The sequence below is a fragment of the Homo sapiens genome, chromosome 8, assembly GCF_000001405.40.
Source record: "Homo sapiens chromosome 8, GRCh38.p14 Primary Assembly".
Classification (NCBI taxonomy): domain Eukaryota; kingdom Metazoa; phylum Chordata; class Mammalia; order Primates; family Hominidae; genus Homo; species Homo sapiens.
In genome coordinates this window covers 20,291,061-20,310,719 of record NC_000008.11, presented here as the reverse complement: position 1 = coordinate 20,310,719, position 19,659 = coordinate 20,291,061, and the positions used below count along the sequence as shown (strand labels likewise).

At 49.1% G+C, this 19,659-nt stretch overlaps 1 protein-coding gene across 1 annotated transcript in view, besides 1 other annotated feature; it reads left to right on the top strand.

Moving 5' to 3' along the window:
• Nucleotides 6,698-6,767: a silencer, noted in NCBI's record as "silent region_18972". NCBI's record gives its function as "represses an Ori minimal core promoter by ATAC-STARR-seq in GM12878 lymphoblastoid cells {active_cell/tissue: GM12878}" and the evidence as "EXISTENCE:reporter gene assay evidence [ECO:0000049][PMID:35858748]".
• Nucleotides 6,757-19,659, top strand: part of LZTS1 (leucine zipper tumor suppressor 1) — a 57,799-nt gene continuing 44,896 nt past the window's right edge. The window contains exon 1 of the mRNA NM_021020.5: nucleotides 6,757-6,980. The gene's annotated coding sequence lies outside the window, so the exon portion shown is untranslated. The remainder of the gene's footprint in view (nucleotides 6,981-19,659) is intronic.

Genomic DNA, 19,659 nt, shown 5'->3' with positions numbered 1-19,659 from the left:
TAAGTTACAAAGTGGCAATAAAGCAATGAATAGTAGGATGTGTATGTGTTGTTCAGTGAAACTTCATTCAATGGGGTGGGAGTGGGAGATTAAGGAGGGTGGGTCAGGACCTGGCGAGGGCCTTGAAAGACACTTCCATCTGGCTTGAAGGAGGGCCAGGACATGGACGGATATGGACGTGGCCTTGATGGTGGGGAGGCAATGTGGAGCTCTGGGGTGACGTAGGAGATGTGCATGTTGGAAACGTGAGGGTGTGGGAAAGCTGAACACGGCCGTTTCAACTTGATGCTAGAGGGGAAGCTATCCTATGCCTTGCGCTTGCAGTGGTCCTAGAAGGGTCTCATTCATTTGGGGCAGGTGGTCTCCAGCCTTGGGTAGAGCTGAAAAGATAGACTCTGGAGAGACAGCCTGGAAGACTAGAGAGAGCAAAGGGTGTGGATAAACCTGAATTCCAATTCTTTCTCCTCCACTACTAGTAGTGGGATTTGAGGCAAATTGTTTAGCCACTCTGAACTGCAGTTTCTGCATCTGGAAAACAGAGATAATAATTTCTGTGATTATTAAGTAAGATACTGTAGGTAAAATGTCCAGCAAAGGTGTGGCATGTGATAGGCAAGCAATGGCTGTTAGTTTTCTACAGGGCTTCTTTCCCCCTTCTTGAAGACAAAGGTGAGCTACACAGGTATGTTCCAATATCTATCTACCACCAATGGACTGGTCGAAGCCAATCAGGGTAATTTTACTGAGTGAACCCATGACTGCTAGATGACATGGCCAGGCTGTTTAGGGTCAGCTGAAGGCCTTCTGGGAAAGGTTTCCTTGATCTTGAAAAAGAGATGCAGGAACAAAGGTCCTTTATTCCTCAGCGCATTGCTAGTTCTGGATGTCCCGACTAGACCGAGAGATTCAACCCATGATCATGAAGCAACCATCCCAAGGGCAATCCAAGCCCATGCTCTGAGGATGGCAGAACAGAGACATGGCAAGGCCTGATTCCTGATGCCACTGGGAAGCCAAGGTACAAAAGAACCTGGGACCTGATCTCTGAACTTATTAATTCATGAGGTTTTTTTCTATTGTTTAGGGGATTTTGAGTCAAGCTTTTCTGTTACCTGTACATGGAAACATCCTCACGATTTATAATTTTGGACAAACTTGCCAAAACCACAGAGGAGATAAATTTCAGAACAAGTGATAGGCCAGACCTTTCAGAGATTGGATGTTAAATTAGAACTAGTCTGTTGGCCGGGCACACTGGCTCACACCTGTAATCCCAGCACTTTGGGAGGCTGAGGTGAGCTAATTGCTTGAGCTCAGGAGTTTGAGACCAGCCTAGGCAACATGGCGAAACACCGTCTCTACAAAAAAATACAAAAATTAGCCAGGGGTAGTGGCACATGCCTGTAGTCCCAGCTACTGGAGAGGCTGAGGTGGGAGGATCACCTGAGTCCTGGGAAGCAGAGGTTGCAGTGAGCCAAAATTGTACCACTGCACTCCAGCCTGGACGACAGAGTGAGACCCTGTCTAAAAAAATAATAATAATAAAAATAAAAAAAAAAATAAAAAGAAAGAAGAAGAAAAGGAAAGGATATAAATAGTCTATTATACACTATTGAAAAAGATGGAGCGAGGGAGTCAACTCAAAATACTTCCTTCTCATTTCTCTGTAATTTAGTTCAACCGTGAGTTTACACATCAAAGGGCTTGCTACTTAACTTTCAGATGAGCTTTGCCAGCTGGTACCTAAACAAAACCGATTCACACTGGCAGCCCGTTAGTGCCATTTGAGCCCTCGCATTGCATTAGCCAAGTTAGCTGTCTCACTATTCTCTGCTCAGGAGAAGGCTGCCTGCTTGTGGTCAACACTGCCCAGATCAAACCACATTCAGGCCCTGTGTCAGTTACAAGGTTTCTGAGGCAGGTAGGAGGCATGTGCCCTTAAACCCTGAGGTCCCAGCTCCAGTGAAGCTGGGTCAATTTCTTGTCTTGCACTTTGACTCAGTTTTCCTTTCACTGAAAGAGTAGGGTGGACATATTTCCTGATATAACTTGAGTGTCTTAGTAGGGAGGGGTCATCGTTGAATAGGAATTGTATGTCAGCAAGTTCTCCCAGGGCATCTAAGGCTATTTGTTCTCTCTGTAACTTCTCTGGTCTCCCTAACCTGAATACAGGTGAAGACTTAGAATGAAGTTATGAATCATAATGCTAGTGATGATGATGATTAACAATTTCTTGAAGTCATGCAGCACTTTCGAGGAAAGTAGAAAAACTACTTTCATTTTATCTCATTTGTCTTTATAACATGCAGAGAAGACAGAGGAGAGATGGTCCTGGCCAGGCGTGGTGGCTCACGCCTGTAATCCCAGCACTTTGGGAGGCCGAGGTGGGCGGATCACAAGGTCAGGAGATCGAGACCATCCTGACTAACACAGTGAAACCCCGTCTCTACTAAAAATACAAAAAATTAGCCGGGCGTGGTGGTGGGCGCCTGTAGTCCCAGCTACTCGGGAGGCTGAGGCAGGAGAATGGCATGAACCCGGGAGGCGGAGCTTGCAGTGAGCCGAGATGGCACCACTGCACTCCAGTCTGGGCGACAGAGCGAGACTCCGTCTCAAAAAAAATAAAAAATAAATAAATAAATTTAAAGAAAAAAGAGATGGTCCTTCCAATTCAGAGACAAGTCTCCTGAAGCCCAGAGATAAGAGATTCAAGGTGGTCAGAGACCTACAGGTAAGGAATGAAAATTCTTGTTATAAAAGTTGCACATTCAAAGCAACTCCACGGGAACTGTTTTCTACCCTGGAAAAAGACAGGGATGGTAAGACATCTTCTAAGGTCATGGGACCATTGGCTCTGACTGCAGAAAAACTGCTCTCCCTGGACCTTTACTGGGGTCACTGGGAAATCAGGAGTGGCCTCAGTTGATTCCTTAAAGCTTTGCTCAGTTGTCTAGGCTCATATTTTTTCACCGGCTTTTGGAGATTATCCAACCTCACTTAAATATAGTCAGCATTTCTTTTCTCTTAACACAAGGCCCTGGATTTTGAGACTTGAAATAATATTAAAAAATTATTTGATATTTTGTATTTTTCATAACACCTTTGACTTTATTAATTCTTTTCATTTTGTATTGTTGCCAAAAGATAGATAGGGAAAATGTTATTAGGCTTCTTTCACTGATAGCAAACTAAACCTCCAAAGGGTTGTGAGAAGACTGCAGATTGGAAGAAGTAGGAATACACGTGGATTTTCTGAATTTGAGTCAATTTATCTCTCTGAAACATCATCTCGCCTCCCTCCCCTCATAGCACTCATTCTAGTATTTTTTGAGCGCTTGCTTTGTACCAATAATGTGCTGAGTTCTGTGGATTCAATGTTGACTAAGACAGACATGATCTTTGAACAAGAAACTTGCAGAAGAGATGAACAGACAAACAAGAAGCCAGGGAATTAATTAAATTGTGATAGGTGACAGTACCTTGAGGAAGGCAGAGTTGTCTGTAATCCAAACAAGCTGCTGGCTTAACTGGTCTATGGGTCTGGTCCAGTGTGGCCAATCTTAGGTCCTAGAGATGAAGCATGATGCTCTGTATCTCAGGTGATGAATACAGGAGGAGGGTAGGAGATTTTTACAAGAAATGTTTTGTGACCCAGCTTTCTAGACTCGACTCAGGCAAGGGAGAGCCTGAGGGATGCAGAGTTTCACATAAGACACCTCTCGGGAACCCAGACACTAAGGAAGGGCAGCGCCCCTTCACTAGACAAGGAAGAAAAGGAGCCACACTGAGAACCTACCGGTGGTGTTGGGGGTAGACACACCCAGCCATTGCATTACCATACCCAACTGCTGAATCAGGGAGCTAATTATGGCTTTGTGCTGCTGGAGACCACATTCCTGAGGCTTTCATGCACACATACGGAACCATAATACATACACACATGCTGTGCTGTCCATCACTGGTCTCCTTCTCCACTCTGCCTTCTCATTTCCAGCCCCACTCTCTATGCATTCTGTCTCTAAAGTATCCCTTCCACAGGGTGTTTCTGTTGTTCCATAGGGTATCCCATTTCCACCGCTCATACACAAACCAACACACTGCTCATACCCTTTGCCTGACTCAGTCATTCCAGGAAGGCTGCACATCATACCCAGCTTTCACCTAGAATGTCACTGACAAAGGTGTCAGTGCTGAAGGAGGGTCCTTAAGGAGTATCTTCTCATCCAAACCATCCACTTTCCAGATGAGGAAACTGAGGCCTCATCAGGGACTCCAAACCATCCACTTTCCAGATAGGAAACTGAGGTCTCATCAGGGACTCCAAACCATCCACTTTCCAGATGAGGAAACTGAGGCCTCATTAGGGACATGGCTTGTCCAAGAGCATATAGTCAGCAGTAGGGCCAGAACAAAAAGTGGGCTTCCAGAGTCCTTTGTCTCTTCCATGGAATCTCACCTCCGACGATGTGAAAATGAGTTTGAAGTCTGGAGCCCACCTCATACCTTAATCTACCTTCCAGGAGTCTGCTCTTTCCTTAAAGCGCTGGAATGTTTGATCGATATTAACTCATTCAGCTAAAATTCTTGAGATACTCTCACCAGCAAGCAAGAATACATGTTCTCTGTCAATAAATGCAACACAAAGAAGCATGGCGCTTTAGAAAAAGAAGACATTATTTTGCCCTGGACGATAAGAGAAGGTGTGAGTAAGGGTTCCATATTTTGTCTCAGATTTTGAGAGGTAGAGTTAGAAGAGCAGGAGAAAAGCTTTTCAGACTGAGGGGCAGGTTTATACAAAGGTGGGGAAAAGGAGGTGATGTTCAGGAAAAGGCTGAGTAGCCTTTGGGGTTGACACTTAGAAATTGTCGTATTGCTTGTAATTACTGCCACGTGTATGTACTTACCGCAAGGCAGTGGGTTTCATTTAATCATCAGAACAAACCTATACATGAGAAATTCATTCATTTAACAAATACATATTGAGTGCCTACTATGTTGCCTGGCAAGTTCTAGGTGTCGGGGATACATCTATGAATAAAACAGACCAAGTCCCTCAGCCACCAATAAAAGAGAACAAGTTCCTGCCTTCAGGGAATTTACACTGGGACTTGTTACCTCATTTCACAAATAAAAAAAGAAAGAAAGAAAAAGAAAAACTGAGAAAGAGGGAGGGGAAGGTAATGGCTCAAATAACAAGCAGCGAAGCCTGTCTGTGTTCTTAAACCCTCGCGGTGCCATCTTTCAGGAAGCCTAGATTCGAAGGTCAGAGTCTTCAGGGTCAACAACCGAAGGCAGTGAGATTCCCCTACAGGGTTTTGAGCAGGGGTGTGGCAGAAACCATATGGCTTGTTTTCCTTTGAGCTGTCCCCCCTGCCACCACAATTCTATTTAATTTTTTTGTATTTATTTATTTATTTATTTATTTTGAGACACGGTGTCACTCTGTCACCCAGGCTGGAGTGCAGTGGCACTATCTTGGCTCACTGCAACCTCTGCCTTCCAGGCTCAAGCAATTCCCAAGCCTCAGCCTCCCAAGTAGCTGGGATTACAGGCTCCTGCCACCACACCCAGCTAATTTTTGTATTTTTTTTTTTTTTTTTTTTTAGTAGAGACGGGGTTTCACCATGTTGGCCAGGCTGGTCTTCAACTCCTGACCTCAAGTGATCCACCAACCTCGGCCTCCCAAAGTGCTGAGATTACAGGCATGAGCCACCGCGTCCGGCCCCCATGCTATTTATAATCAGATCGGCTATGTCAATCCTAATCCATTACATCTATCCCCCACCCCCCAACACACACACACACACACACACACACACACACACACACACACAGGCTTCTTTCAAGATGAGGCTAACACTCCTTGGGCAGAGCTGCCATCTTCCCGCCAAGCCTGGTTTTAGAGGATTAGCCTCAGTGCACCCTCAAGCCCCCAAGCCTCATGCTGCACCTAGCACTCCGGTTAACTGACCCTTTGTCCTACAAAACCTTGTAAGCTTGAATCCTCTCCTGGCTCAGTTGCTAGAAGTTAAAAGTGAGGGTGGTTGAGAAAATGATAGTATTATAAGGGGACTGGGTGAGACTAATAGCTATAAACTTGAAACAGGCCTCTGCTGTCACCTGAAACTCAGCTCCCTCAGAGCTGGAAAAGTTTGCTTTTGACATGTTTTGGGAGTGGGAGTCCCGGTGCTCTGGACTCTAGCCTGTAATCCTGGTGTGGTTCGCAATGCCCCTCACTTGGGTGCTAGTCCAGTCCTTGAACAAAACACACGCCCTTTAGTGCGAGTCGGGAGCGGGAGAGACGGTATTAAGAAAAATAAACTGGCGATTAAGAGGAAGGGGTAATGAAGAAAGGGGAACATACACAGAACGGGAGAAGGAATGGATTTTAAACAAAACTGGAGTAAGAATTTCAGGTAATGAAAGGGAAAAAAGGATGCGACAAGAGCAAGACAGGAACAATCGGAGAAAGGGGGCCAGGCAAGAAAGGAAGACTGAGGGGGCAGGGTCGCCCAATGGGGCTGATGGAAGTGAGAGCAGAGAGACGGGACCCGGGACCCCGCGCAGGCCGCGGGCGCGAAGGAGCCGCGAGGTCGCGAGCAGCCCCAGCTGTCAGCCCGGAACAAAGGCCGCCGAGCGGCACAGACCAGGCTGCCGGCAGCTCGCTGCCAATCAGCGGCGCCGGCTCTGGCCCCGCCCCGGGCCGGCCCCGCCCCGCCCCGCCCCGCCCCGCCCCGCCCCGGCTCCGGGACCCGCGCAGAGGCCGGCGCGCCTGGAGCTGGCGGGTTGGCAGCGGCCGGGCGGGGAGGCCGAAAGTTTCTCTGCCCGCCTCGGCCAGTGAGTGGGAGCCGGGAGCTGCATCCCGCGCAGTGGGACCGGCCCGGCCCGCTCAGCAGCTCTGGAAAAAGAGAGACGGGAACACACCGGGAAACACTGGGAAAAAAAAAAAGTCTCAAGTGCGCCCGAGGCGCAGGGGGCAGGTAAGGTGCGGTGGCCGGGGATCTCCTCGCCCCTGGAGGGTCTGCTGCCCTGGCTGCGGGAAACCGCTTTCCCCTCGCCGGGCCGGACCGTCCGTGCGTCCGCGCGTCCGTCGGTCTTTGTCTGTCTGTGTCCGTGGCTGTCGAGGTGTCTTTGTCTCCGCGTGGAGCTGTCAGGGTCTCCCCTCTGCAGGGTGGGCGCCGCTTCTCCGGCCCGGCCCAGAGGAGGTGACTGTGCGTCTGTCCTCCTGTCTTTGTCTTCGTGTCTCCTGCAGACGGGGTTCGTCTATTCCCAGCACCGATGCTGATCCTGGCGGGGACGTCAGTGTTAGGTGACACTGGTGTCGGAGGTGAAGAAGTGGGAGGTGGGGACGCGAGGCCGCAGGAGCAGGGGCCGCAGGAAGAGGGTCCGGCGGTCGGTCCGGGCCGCTGAACTTCGCCGCCTGGAACTTTGCAGATGAGCTGTGTCCACACCGGTGGGGAGGACACCGGTGCGTTGCAGCCAGAGATTTGAAAGGTTTCCCTCAAGGAATAAGTCACACGGGCGGAGGTGGTTAGAGAGGAAGGTGGTAAATCGAAGTGTCTAAGTGGCTCCCTGGGGCTGCAGCTTCCTGGGGTCGGTCCTGGATGTGCAATTCAGGAATTTAGTCAAAGCACCATGCACACACAGACAGCCCCACACTACCTTCACTTCTTCCACCGCCACCCTAGGCAGCCAGACCTCACCCCTCCACCCTGCCACAGGCTTTGCTCTGGCTGGAGGGGCTTCAGAGGTCGCAGCTTGGCAGCAACAGGCATCCCCGAGACACCAAGGGCCAGGTGATGTCTCTTTTTCGTGCTCCAAGTGGAAAGGTTTGAACTGTGGAGCAAATGAGCCTTGTGCTCGCCCACGAGTATGTCAGGCCTGGGAAAGTGCTCCAGACTTGTTAGCTTCGCAGTCTTCAATTTCCCAGGAATAAGAAGTGCTTAGGGATCTGGCCTCCTAAAGTGTTTCCTGTCTCACTTATTCCCTCCACACCGTCCCGCTGCCATCAGCCCCTCTACTCTCTGGTCCCGGGCGCTGGGAAAGTACTGAGGAGGCACTGAGTTCTGGACCATGCCGGGCAGGCGCTGCTCCTAATAAGGATCCCACACTCTGCTGGAAGTGCAGCCTAATAGGAATGCTGGGAGCCCAGGAGCCCAGCCACAAAGAGATGAGCTATCTGCTTGGCAGTTCCTGCACCAAGACCCTGAGAAGAGTCTGCGGGTACCGGCAAGAGGGTGTTTGCAACCTGAGCTTTCTCTAAGTTCAAAAACAATTTTCTGCAGGCATCCAGAGGGAGAATGGAGGTGCCCGAAGAGTGTGCGCATATGGGTATTAGAGATAGCATGTACAGACGGGAAAGGTGTTTGTGTTTAAGAGTGGAGTGGAACATAGTCTGTGGGTAGAAGTCTGTGGGCAGAGAGCATGCAGGCTAATCAGGCGTGGCGTTACACCTTGTATTTATCCAGCGCTTTTCTTTGGAGGCTCTTTCTGCTCATCATAGACGTTATCTCATACGTTATCTCCTTTATCCTCACAACATAACTACCAGGTTGGTGCGGTGGGCTCTCTGTGCCTGCCAGTGAAGAAACGGAGGCGTCAGAAGGGAAAGGCTTTCCCTAAGGTCCCACAGCTAATAGGATGGAGCAACTGGGAGTCCTAGTAAGAGGTCTCAGCTGGGTGGATGTGAGTGTGGGGCGCTCACTCTGCTTAAGAAGAGAAGAAAACTAGTAGAAAAAGAACGGGCATCTCTGTGGGTGTCTATATGCAAGCAAAAGGGAGGGCGGGACATTTGATGTGCTGAAGATGGTTGTTAGTTAACATTTATAGCAGCGGCTGTGTGCTTCACGAGGTAAACCTGTCTCAGCAGTTCAGCTTGTGCATTTGTGTATCTGCAGGAGGTGCCCCCAGCTGTGTGTGCCTGGGTCGATGTGGGGCAGGGGTGCTGTCATAGAAGGAGTGCTGCTGCGTGGGGTGCCCTGGGGAAAGCCAATGCTTTGGGAGTGTGTGAGGGAAAGATGTGCCTTTCAGTTTTGAGAAGCCGTGGGTCAGCGTGTATAGCAAAGCTATACATGGGCTCCAGACGTATATAAATGGCTTTCTAATCCTGAAAACTTATTTATATGCCTTTGCGCTTATTCAACGTTCATTTCATAAATATTCATTGGGCGCCTACCAAATGCAAGGCTCTGAGCTGTGCAGCGAGGCTAGGAAGATGAATAATGTAATGATGACAGACCTATGGGTAAGCACCTTATAGACCAGTGTAATGGATAATACCGTAACACTTAATGCCAGCCACTAAATCCACTGTGTGCCTGGAACTTTTTATTCATTATCTCATTTAATTTTCACTGCAGCCCTGCGGGGTATGTATAATTATTAGATGAGGAGAGTTAAGTAATTTAGCCAGGCTACAAAACCGAGGGGCAGGGATTTGAGATCAGCTTAGTAAGGTTCTGGACCCTGGCTCTGTCCATGTTATTCTGCTACCTTTGAACATAGAAACACTGTTTCTTCTGCATGGAATATTCCTGCCTGGTCTCTCTACCTTCTCCACTTAACTGGCTCCCACTTTTTTTTTTTTTTTTTTTTTTTTTGAGACGGAGTCTTGCTCTGTCGCCCAGGCTGGAGTGCAGTGGTGCGATCTTGGCTCACCGCAACCTCCACCTCCTGGGTTCAAGCAGTTCTCCTGCCTCACCCTCACAAGTAGCTGGGACTATAGGCGCCTGCCACCACGCCTGGCTAATCTTTTATATTTTTAGTAGAGATGGGGTTTTGTCATGCTGGTCAGGCTGGTCTTGAACTCCTGACCTCAAGTGATCTGCTGGCCTCAGCCTCCCAAAGTGTTGGGATTACAGGCAGGAGCCACCACACCCAGCCCCACTGTGGGTTTTAACCATAGGGATCAACTCCTCCAAGAAAGTTTCCTCTGTTTTTTCCTCAATTCTGAGTCAGGTACCTTCCTCAGAGTCCCTACCATCATACCAGTATATTATGGCATTTACTCACTGGCTCCTGAGGAGTCTACAAAACTCCTAGAAGCAGAGATTGCATCATGAGTTCCCAGCTCAAAATACAGTGTTGGCGGCGGGGCGCTGTGGCTCACGCTTGTAATCTCAGCACTTTGGGAGGCTGAGGCAGGTGGATCACGAGGTCAGGAGATCGAGACCATCCTGGCTAACACGGTGAAACACCGTCTCTACTAAAAATACAAAAAATTAGCCGGGCGTCGTGGCGGGCACCTGTAGTCCCAGCTACTTGGGAGGCTGAGGCAGGAGAATGGCGTGAACCCGGGAGGGGGAGCTTGCAGTGAGCCGAGATCACATCACTGCACTCCAGTCTGGGCAACAGAGAGAGACTCCGTCTCAAAAAAGAAAAAAAAAATACAGTGTTGGCTTTCAGTAGATACTATGAGTATGCCCTTAGTAAATGCTTGTTTAATAAGGTAAGGGGAAAGATGAGAGCTCTCAGAGACCTTTGGCAGGGAGCACTGTTCCCAACAGTGGATTTCTGCATGGGTGCCCTTTGCTAGTGTGGCCACTGACTTTCCTTCCTCTGTTACTGGGCCAGCTCCTTCAAGGCCTCTCCCTAGATGGGGCCATCTCAGGCCCCACCAACAGTTCGGGAGTCCGAGGGAACACTCGCCCCCACCCACTCTATCTCCAGGTCAATCAACCCACAAGCACAGTTATGGAAGGGGACCATTCTAGGTGTGACCTAGACCTGGGGTTTTAAAATCCTGCACTTTGAGCCGCCACATGGTTCCAGGGCAATGATGAGATGTTTCTGGGATTTTGCCAACAAAGAAGTATCCAACTACGTGGGGAATCTTGAGGTGATTTACATATTAGCTCTTTGAGTTTGCTGTTGAATAGATCTTTGTGCTGCTACAGTTTGAAGCCTGAAATGGACACTCCTAGGCTTGCAGTTGAGAGTGTGAATTGCTACCATGTTTGGGGAGGTAATCTGGCCATGATTTCTCCGAGGCGACGCAGTCAAGTGATTCTCCTTCCATCTCCTTTCCATCGCCCTGTTATTTCTCATATAGGAATTACTACCTGTGTTCTCGGGGCTCCATGGCGATTTAAGTTTTTCTTTTAAAGATCATTGATCAAGTTTGAAAAACTCTGCATTTCACTATTTATTAAAGGTCTTATCCGTGTGAGGTGCCAGGGAGTGGGGAATAACAGCAAAAAAGACGAAATAATGCTTAGAGACTAAAATTTGTGATGACAGTTGGGAAGAAGAACTGGCACACCTGAACCAATGACAAGTAAGTTGAAAACTGGATTGTATTAGGTTGCTGCAAAAGTAATTGTGGTTTTTGCAATTAAAATACTAACTTTGAATACAGCAGTTTCTCAGCAGGAGGCAGGTGAGCCAGAACCTTCCTTACCAGGGAGGAGGTGGCTGTGAACTGAACCTTGAAGTTGAACCTGAGGAGGGTATGAAGGGAGTCAGCGAAGCAGGAGCCAAGTTCATGGCTCCAAGATGCAAGCTGAGAGCTGAGGAGACAGGGCTCTCTCTTCCAAGAACCTTAGCCAGAGCCTGTTGCCTCCTTATGCTGGGTTTGGCCAGCCACCCAGACCAAACAGAGGTGGTGCATAAAAAATGGGAGGTTTTCAACCTCTCACCTCTCACCACTGCCTCCAGCCAGCGTGCAAATTAGCCTCCAGATCCCTCCTCCCAGGGTTGGAGAAGTTGATGGGGATGTGTCAGCTACAGTCGAGCATAGCTGGTGAGCTTACGGCTAGTTAGCTCCTTTTGCCATTTGGCAAAGCCCTCTGTTTTGCTGCAGTTTTCATCCTGTGTCTCTCACACTGGTTTTTTGTTTGTTTTTTAGAGACAAGATCTTGCTGTTTCTCTCAGGATGGAGTGCAGTGATGTGATCACGGCTCAGCTTACTGCAATCTTGACCTCCTAAGCTCAAGTGATCCCCAGTCCTCTCTCCTCAGACTCCCAAGTAGCTGGGACCACAAGTGCATACCAACACACCTGGCTAATTGTTTTTAATTTTTGTAGAAATAAGGTCTCGCTATGTTGCTCAGGCTGGTCTTGAACCCCTGGCCTCAAGTGATCCTCCCACTTTGGCTTCCCAGAGTGTTGGGATTCTAGGTGTGAGCCACCGCATCCAGCCTCACACTGTTGCTTCCTGCTGGACACTGACTTCCACCATCCCTAGACTTCCTTAATGGTGATTTCAATAGCGCTTTTTACTTGTACAGGACTTTACACTTTAAAAAGTGGAATAAAATTATTATTATTATTATTTACACCTCACAACAACTCTGTGAGAAGATTCCCTTTGCCATTTGGCAGATGAGGAAACCAAGTGCGCCTTTGAAAGTTGAAGGAGGGCTGGGCACGGTGGCTCATGCCTGTATTCCTAGCACTTTGGGAGACTGAGGTGGGCTTATCATCTGAGGTCAGGAGTTCAAGACCAGCCTGGCCACCATGATGAAGCCCTGTCTCTACTAAAACTACAAAAATGAGCCAGGTGTGGTGGTGCACGCCTGTAGTTCCAGCTACTTGGGAGGCTGAGACAGGAGAATCTCTTGAACCCGGGAGGTGGAGGTTGCAGTGAGTGGAGATCACACTGCTGCACTCCAGGCTGGGTGACAGAGCAAGACTTTGTCTCAAAAAATAAATAAAAAACAAAAAAAAAGAAAGGTGAAAGAGTTTATGCAAGATTTTTAAGAGGAATGCTGAGATATGAACACCAGCTGTTCTGAGTCCCAATGTTGGGCTGTAACTACCAAGTCATTGGGGTTCACCAATTAAATGGATTTAGGCTCATCGAATTGTTGGCAAGTGTTTAATATGCAGGAAAAAGAGATTTTTAAAATTATAAGAATGCAGTTACTTTTGTATTTATTGTAATTCAAGCATGATGAGGGCATTCGAATCTTCCTCAGTTTTTCTGTGCTCACTTCACCCCCCATCTCCCTTTTCCCTAAGTGCTTGTGATGCATATATGTTAAGCTCAATAAACAATAAACTAGGGCCTGGCGTGATGGCTCATGCCTGTAATCCCAGCAATTTAGGAGGCCAAGGTGAGCCGATCACCAGAGGTCAGGAGTTCCAGACAAGCCTGGTCAACATGGCGAAATCCCATCTCTATTAAAAATACAAAAAATTAGCTGGGCATGGTGGTGCACGCCTGTAGTCCCAGCTACTCAGGAGGCTGAGGCGGGAGAATTGCTTGAACCCGGGAGGCGGAGGTTATAGTGAGCTGAGATCGCACCACTGCACTGCAACCTAGGCTAAAAAGCGAGACTCTGTCTCAAAAACAAACAAACAAACAAACAAACACAATAAAGTAGGATGTAGCTAGGATAATGGAATGTCTACTTGGCATTTGCTTTAGAGAATGAAATTTATCATATGTCAGTTCTTTCTTTATAGCTTGTCAATTCAAAAGGTTTAGTCCACTCCATGTTGAAATTAGAGCAAATGTTGCCTCCACAGAATTTGAATTAATGACATTTCATTGGAATACCAACCTTAATTGCATAATATATTTCAGTGTTTCCACCTTGTCCATGAGCAAGTACGTTCTGAACTAAAATGGGATAGCAGTCTCTTCACTGGTAGCTCAAGCAATTTGTGGAAACCAGACTTCAGGGGCAATCACACATGGAGGCTGCCCCCAGGGGAGAAGAGAATTGGATGGAGCATCGTGGGAAGGAGGGGAGCGAAGGGAGGCGGAAGACGGAGACAGAAGACAAGCAGAGAGGGAATGTGTGTGTTAGCTAACAGCTAAAGCTAATTGATCTAATCAATCCAGCAGAGAGGTGATTTTTCTTACTAAGTGACAGGCCAAATCGGTGTCTGAACAGATGTGATGTGGGTTGCGTCCAGCACCTGGAACAAAGACAGCAAAGAGCTGCCCCATGGAGATCGCCAATAGATGTGCTTCATGTCAGTTAATCATTGTGGGAGAAGATAGGGCTGCCTTCAGGCCAGTGCCAGAGCACATGCACACACATGCACACACGCACACATACACACATACACACGCACACACACGTATCCATTTCATTCATCCACTCTCATTGTCTCTCCCTCTGAGACGTGCTTTCTTGTGATACCCAAACTCACAAGCCCAAGTACATCACATTACACAAATCTTCAGAGACTCCCAAGATGTCAGGACCCGGGAGATCCACACCTCTGCCTACCTGGGCTGGCCAATCTGTGGCATGGTCTGAGGTGAGCTCAGACAGCCCCCTCCCCGATGCCATGCCTGGGGCAGTCTTTAGGTGGCCACGAACCCATTAGAGTTACAGATCCTCTGGAGGAAGAGGATGGGCCAGTCTAGGTGAGACTTTCAGCCTAAGAGGGGTACAAGAACTGGGGCCCCTCAAGGAGGTTGAAAGTGGAGGTGAGATGGGGTTGGGAGTGGGCATTGTTCTCAAACCCTCCCATTCCTGTGCATGAATCTGACCTCACAGAATAACCTCTCAGGTGGCTGAGGCCATCCCCGCCCAAGGCATCAGGGCAGGGCTGTGCACTTGGCTCCCTGGCCTGTTGGCTTGGGGGACATTTTCACTCTTCTTGCTGCTGCAGAGCCATTTGCTGCTAAATCACCCTCCTCTTGGCACCATGGACTGCTAAATTGGTCTCAACTTGCTGTACTTCCACCCACCACCTTAGTCATTATTCGCTGGCAGCATTCAGAGAGTGGGTGTAAGGCAGCCGAACATTATATTCCTGCTGTAAAGAGGGAGAATTGAGTATAGACATGCAAGGAGAGGGGAGAGAGGGAAGGAGGGAAGACAGCGTGAAGGAGGCAGGGAAACAAGGCCTGGGGTTTGCCAGCACCTTTCCCTGGTGACCCCAGTGACACTGGATTGGGGGGGCATTATAGGTGAGTGGGTCCTGGCTCAGTGGGAGGAGACAGAGGGGTCCACCTGCTACTGAGTGTCTTCCCACCCCTGGTCTGGAGGCAGGAAAGGACATTAGCCATGGGAAGAGAAGGGTTCTGCCCTCTGTGAACTCCCTGTTCCTTGAATTCTACAGTGTATAACGTACTTGTCACTCCCATTTGAGCACTTGTTCCCATGTATTCATATTTAGCTTTTTATCTCTATCCTCCCTCCCAGCATAGGTTATAAGCCCCTTGAAAGAGAATGTGTGTCCCGCATCTGATATATAGCACCAGGCCTTAGGAATGGTCTAGGGCTCGGTCCCAAATGGCAGAGATGGATGGCGCTAAGGCCCACAGTGCTTCTTTCTACCCAGCCACTTCAGATCTCTCTGTGCCACTCAAGGGCCACAGAAATTGGAAAGCCAGGCAAGCAAGAGGAGATGGAATCACAAGGGAATCTACAGGGCTTGGTCTGCAATCTCAGTGGGAAACTCCAGGGAGGGAAAGGGTTACACTGCAGAACAGACCAGCCAGGAAAGCAGAAACTTAAGAGACCTGTGGTCCTTGTGCAGAAGGCTGGGGGTGATCTCCACCTGGCACATGGGCTCTCCTGATAGCTCATCCATTGCCCAATGCCCAGGCATGGTGCCGGGGCTGGCAGGAGGTAGGAAGCAGAATCGGTTCTCACATCGGGCAGCAGTGACAGCGTCAGGCAGGGCAGACTGACCTTGACAGGAGGCTCCCTGAGTCACTGATAACATTTGTTTGGGCACCCAGGGAGAGGTTAGAAAGGGAACTCATGCCATCCCAAGCTGGCTTGGGACCTCTTGGGGCCCCCAACCCAGGCTCCTTGCCTCCCACACTCTGCTTGGGGGAGATAATAGGAAAATGCCAAGAACAGAAGCCTCCCTAGCTAGGGAGATGGGGAGACTCTTGAGGGATATGGGGATGAGCCCTGAGGCTGCCCTTGACCTTCCAGAGAGGCAGCCCCATGCCTGGTGTCTGTAGGTACCTGTGTGGGGTCTGCCCTCCCCTCTGTCTCCCATGGTCATCCCCAGCAGAGGTCCAGAAGGACAATCTACACACTCAGGGTAGCTTCCCTTATTTATTGCAACCTTCAGACACTCCAGCTTGAGCTCTTCCCTGCTCCCCGCCACCCCCAAAGGGCATTTCCACAGTGCAAGGGGAGGAGGGAGGGAAGCATGGACTGGACAGCGCACACATCTTGAGGAGACAGCCTCCCCCTCCTTGCCTATCAAATTCCCCCAGCCCCAACGCCTCCGTGGCCCCAGCAGACAAACCACACTGCAGGCAGGTGGGGAAAATGAGAGGAGCCAGGCGGAGCCCCCAGCCTCCACCTGCACTGTAAAGCGAGCCGGCCCCTGAAGGAGGCCTGGGAAGGACTCCCCAGCTGCCTTCGGCTCCTCCCCTTGCCAGGCCCGCAGCTGGCCCTGCTCAAAGGCTGTGCAGCCGGCTGGTGGCTGGTGGGGCAGGTGTGGGCAGGATGCGTGGCTATTCCCAAGACAGGATTTCTTCATCTATCAAACTAGAAGCACCAGGCATTTGGCTTCTCTGGGCTTCCACCAGTACCTCGGACATCTGTTGACTTAGAAACTTTTTCTTGATGTTGGACTTACTTCTATTCTAGAGCCGCAGACAGGACCTCCAACTCTAGGGTCCTAAGATTTGTCAGGACACAAAAGAGCCTGTGCTGAAAAAACTTCAGATACTCTACATGCAAACACAACACCTCAGGGTTGAAAGGATGCTTAAAAACCACTCTATCCATATCCTCTCCCTGTCTCCCCTACACACACACAAATACTCACTGCCAAGAACTTTTATTTCACACCTCAGGAACCCAGTTCTTTCCATTTTCTTTTTTCTTTTTATTTTATTTATTTATTATTGTTATTTGTTTTTTTGAGGCAGAGTCATGCTCTGTTGTCCAGGCTGGAGTGCAGTGGTGCAATCCCTGCTTACTGCAGCCTCGAACTCCTGGACTCCCACATCAGCCTCCCTGGTAGCTGGGACCACAGGTGGGTATCACCATACCTGGCCCATTTTTAAATTTTTTTGTAGAGATGAGGTTTTGCTACATTACCCAGGCTGGTTTTGAACTCCTGGCTTCAAGAAATCTCCCCAGTCCAACCTCCCAAAGTGCTGGGATTATAGGCGTGAGCTACTGTGCTCCATCTCTTTCTATTTCAGCTCCATCCTTTGAAAGTCACAGAAGGCTAGGTTCATGTCCAGCCCTGTGCTACGCTCAGGTGCAAGATGAGCAACCACAGACCCTGCCACAACGAGTCACTTGTCTGGTATTGGGGGTGAGACAAAACATCCAGAAAAACATCATTCTACAAAACAGAATCAGCACCGAGTCTTCATGGAAGATACAGAGCTGGAGAAGAGCCCCAAGGGCTGGGTGTGATTTCCAGGCAGACGAAGTGGAGGGGTGGCCATGATAGGGAAGAGCAGGTGGTGGGGAAAGAAACCTTTCTAGAAAGGCACGTTGGAGTCAGATTGAGGAGGCGCTTGCACACCCACCTTGCATACTCAGCTGGGGAGAGTGCATGCTATTTGGTAGACAGCAGGGAACCACTGAAGTCAGAGGCAGAGGGGCGGCCTAGAGCAGACCCTGGTTTTAGAAAGTGAATCTAGCAATGGAATATAGAATAGATTCAAGGGTGGAGAGACTTCTTTCTAGAAATACCATTATTAGAATACCTATCTTCATCTCGTATCTCCTAGTTGATAGCACAGTTTCCCAGAGACCTCTTGTAGCCGGGGAATATCTGGGGTGACCGAGGCTTCAAAGAGAGGGAAGTTCCTAATCCAAGGTCAAGATGCTGGGTCCAGGATTATTTATTTAATGGGACACATGGATAATACCTCCCTGCTTTGGACCTGAAAGAAATCACAGAGGGCTTTTATTTTTTACGTAGATGAAGACATAGAGGCCCAGAGAGGGGAAGGAACTTTCTCAGGGTCCCATGGCTGAGGGACATGGCAGAGCCAGGATCGATGGTCCACATCAGGGCTCTTTCTACTAACGTGCTGTGGGGCTGGTGGATGAGGACTCAAGAGCCAGCAGAATTCATCAGGCCCTCAGACCTCAATGGTAGGCAGGTTTGCCCCAGGGGGCATACAAGAACACAGCAGTAGAGAGACGCTTTCAGTCCTGGTGGATTTTCCTCCCTACCCCAATCAAAGGGGCCCCTGGACTTTTGTGACAGCTGATACAACGCTCTGTATTTTTCTCACCACTCTTCTGTCTTGTTTCTCTGAGTGCTTGAGGCATCTTATTTCCGTCTGTTCCTCTGCCTTTTCTGTCCTAAGGGTTCTGTGACAGCAAAGGCTGTGCTGGTCGCAGTTGCTAACAGTCGGTACTTTCAAAACTGAAAAGCAAGTTCTCTGCCGCTCTCATATGTGCACAGCTTAAGCCAAACCCAAACAAAATGGAAGGGTTGCTGGGTGCCAGTCAGCAGGGCTAGCTACCCATAGAGCGACACTACATAGGGAGAGATTTCCAGACAGGAGGCAGATACGTGTCCTGATGCCAGGTGGGATGTCAGTGACAGGGCAGAAGAGGTGGGACATCCCTCAATCTCAGACACACTGGGTGCCAGGGGTTCCTTTGCCTACTGACATGAAACTCTCAGAACAGCATCTCCCACCTTCCTCTGGAAGATTCCTCAGCCTGGTACCCGCTCAGGCGTTTTCATCTTGCCTTCTAAAAACCTGGCAAGCCAAGGGAGGGGACAAAGCTGTAGCAGTGTCCCATGAGGTTTCCAGAGAGGGGACCCCTGGGGGCAGGGCCTTCCTCAGGAAACACCTCCACCCAGGTCAGGCTTCCCTGGTCTCCCAGAGGAACTCACCCTCACCTGGCTGGCAGTCTCAGAAGCAGGTGGAGAGAGCAGGTAAGTTCTAAAGACAAGGCATGAGGTTTTTCCTGTGTGTTGATCCTGAGCCCAAGTTTGGGGAATGGACAGTGGCAAAAAAAACCATGATTTTGGAAATCAGATAGATCAGTGTTCAGATCCTAGCTCTGCTACCTGTTAGCTGTGTGACATCAGGCAAGTCACTTGGCCTCTCTGAGCCTCAATTTTCTCATTTGTAAAATGTGTTACAAATAGGTAATTGGTGCCGTGAAGAAAAGTCAGCATGGAGACAAAAGGTCTCTCAGCAAGGCAATCTTTACTTTCTGCAGAAAGGGTGCTCAATCGCAGATGGAACAATGGCGAGAGAGATCCTGGCTCTGCTACCTGTTAGCTATGTGACATCAGGCAAGTCACTTGGCCTCTCTGAGCCTCAATTTTCTCATTTGTAAAATGTGTTGTGCCTCATATAGAATTTTTATGAAAATTATATGGCCAGTAGAAGTAAAAGCACATGAAGCATAGTAGAAGCTCAGTTAATGTTAGTCTCACCCTCTTCCCCTCAGTTCCAAAGGGAGGAAACCAGGCATGAGACTGAGTTGCCTGTGTGGGAGGGTCATGAGTGCTTGGTAGAGGCAGGTGTCCAGGGGGTCAGGGAGGGACAACTTTAGGGTCAGGTTGTGCTGCCTGCGGAGCTACCTCCTTACCCTCTTATCTGTTTACCCTGGCAAAGGGAGACGGTTTAACTGGAAACAGTATGGGAAGGAGTCGTTGGTACCTTGATCACTCTGGATCTCCATCTATGTGGTCAATCTGACTACGTTAAAATAGATTGAAAGCCTATGAAGTTATGTAGAATGGGCGGCTGTGATACCATTCAGTGTCCTGAGGTCAGGACTCAGCTCTGAA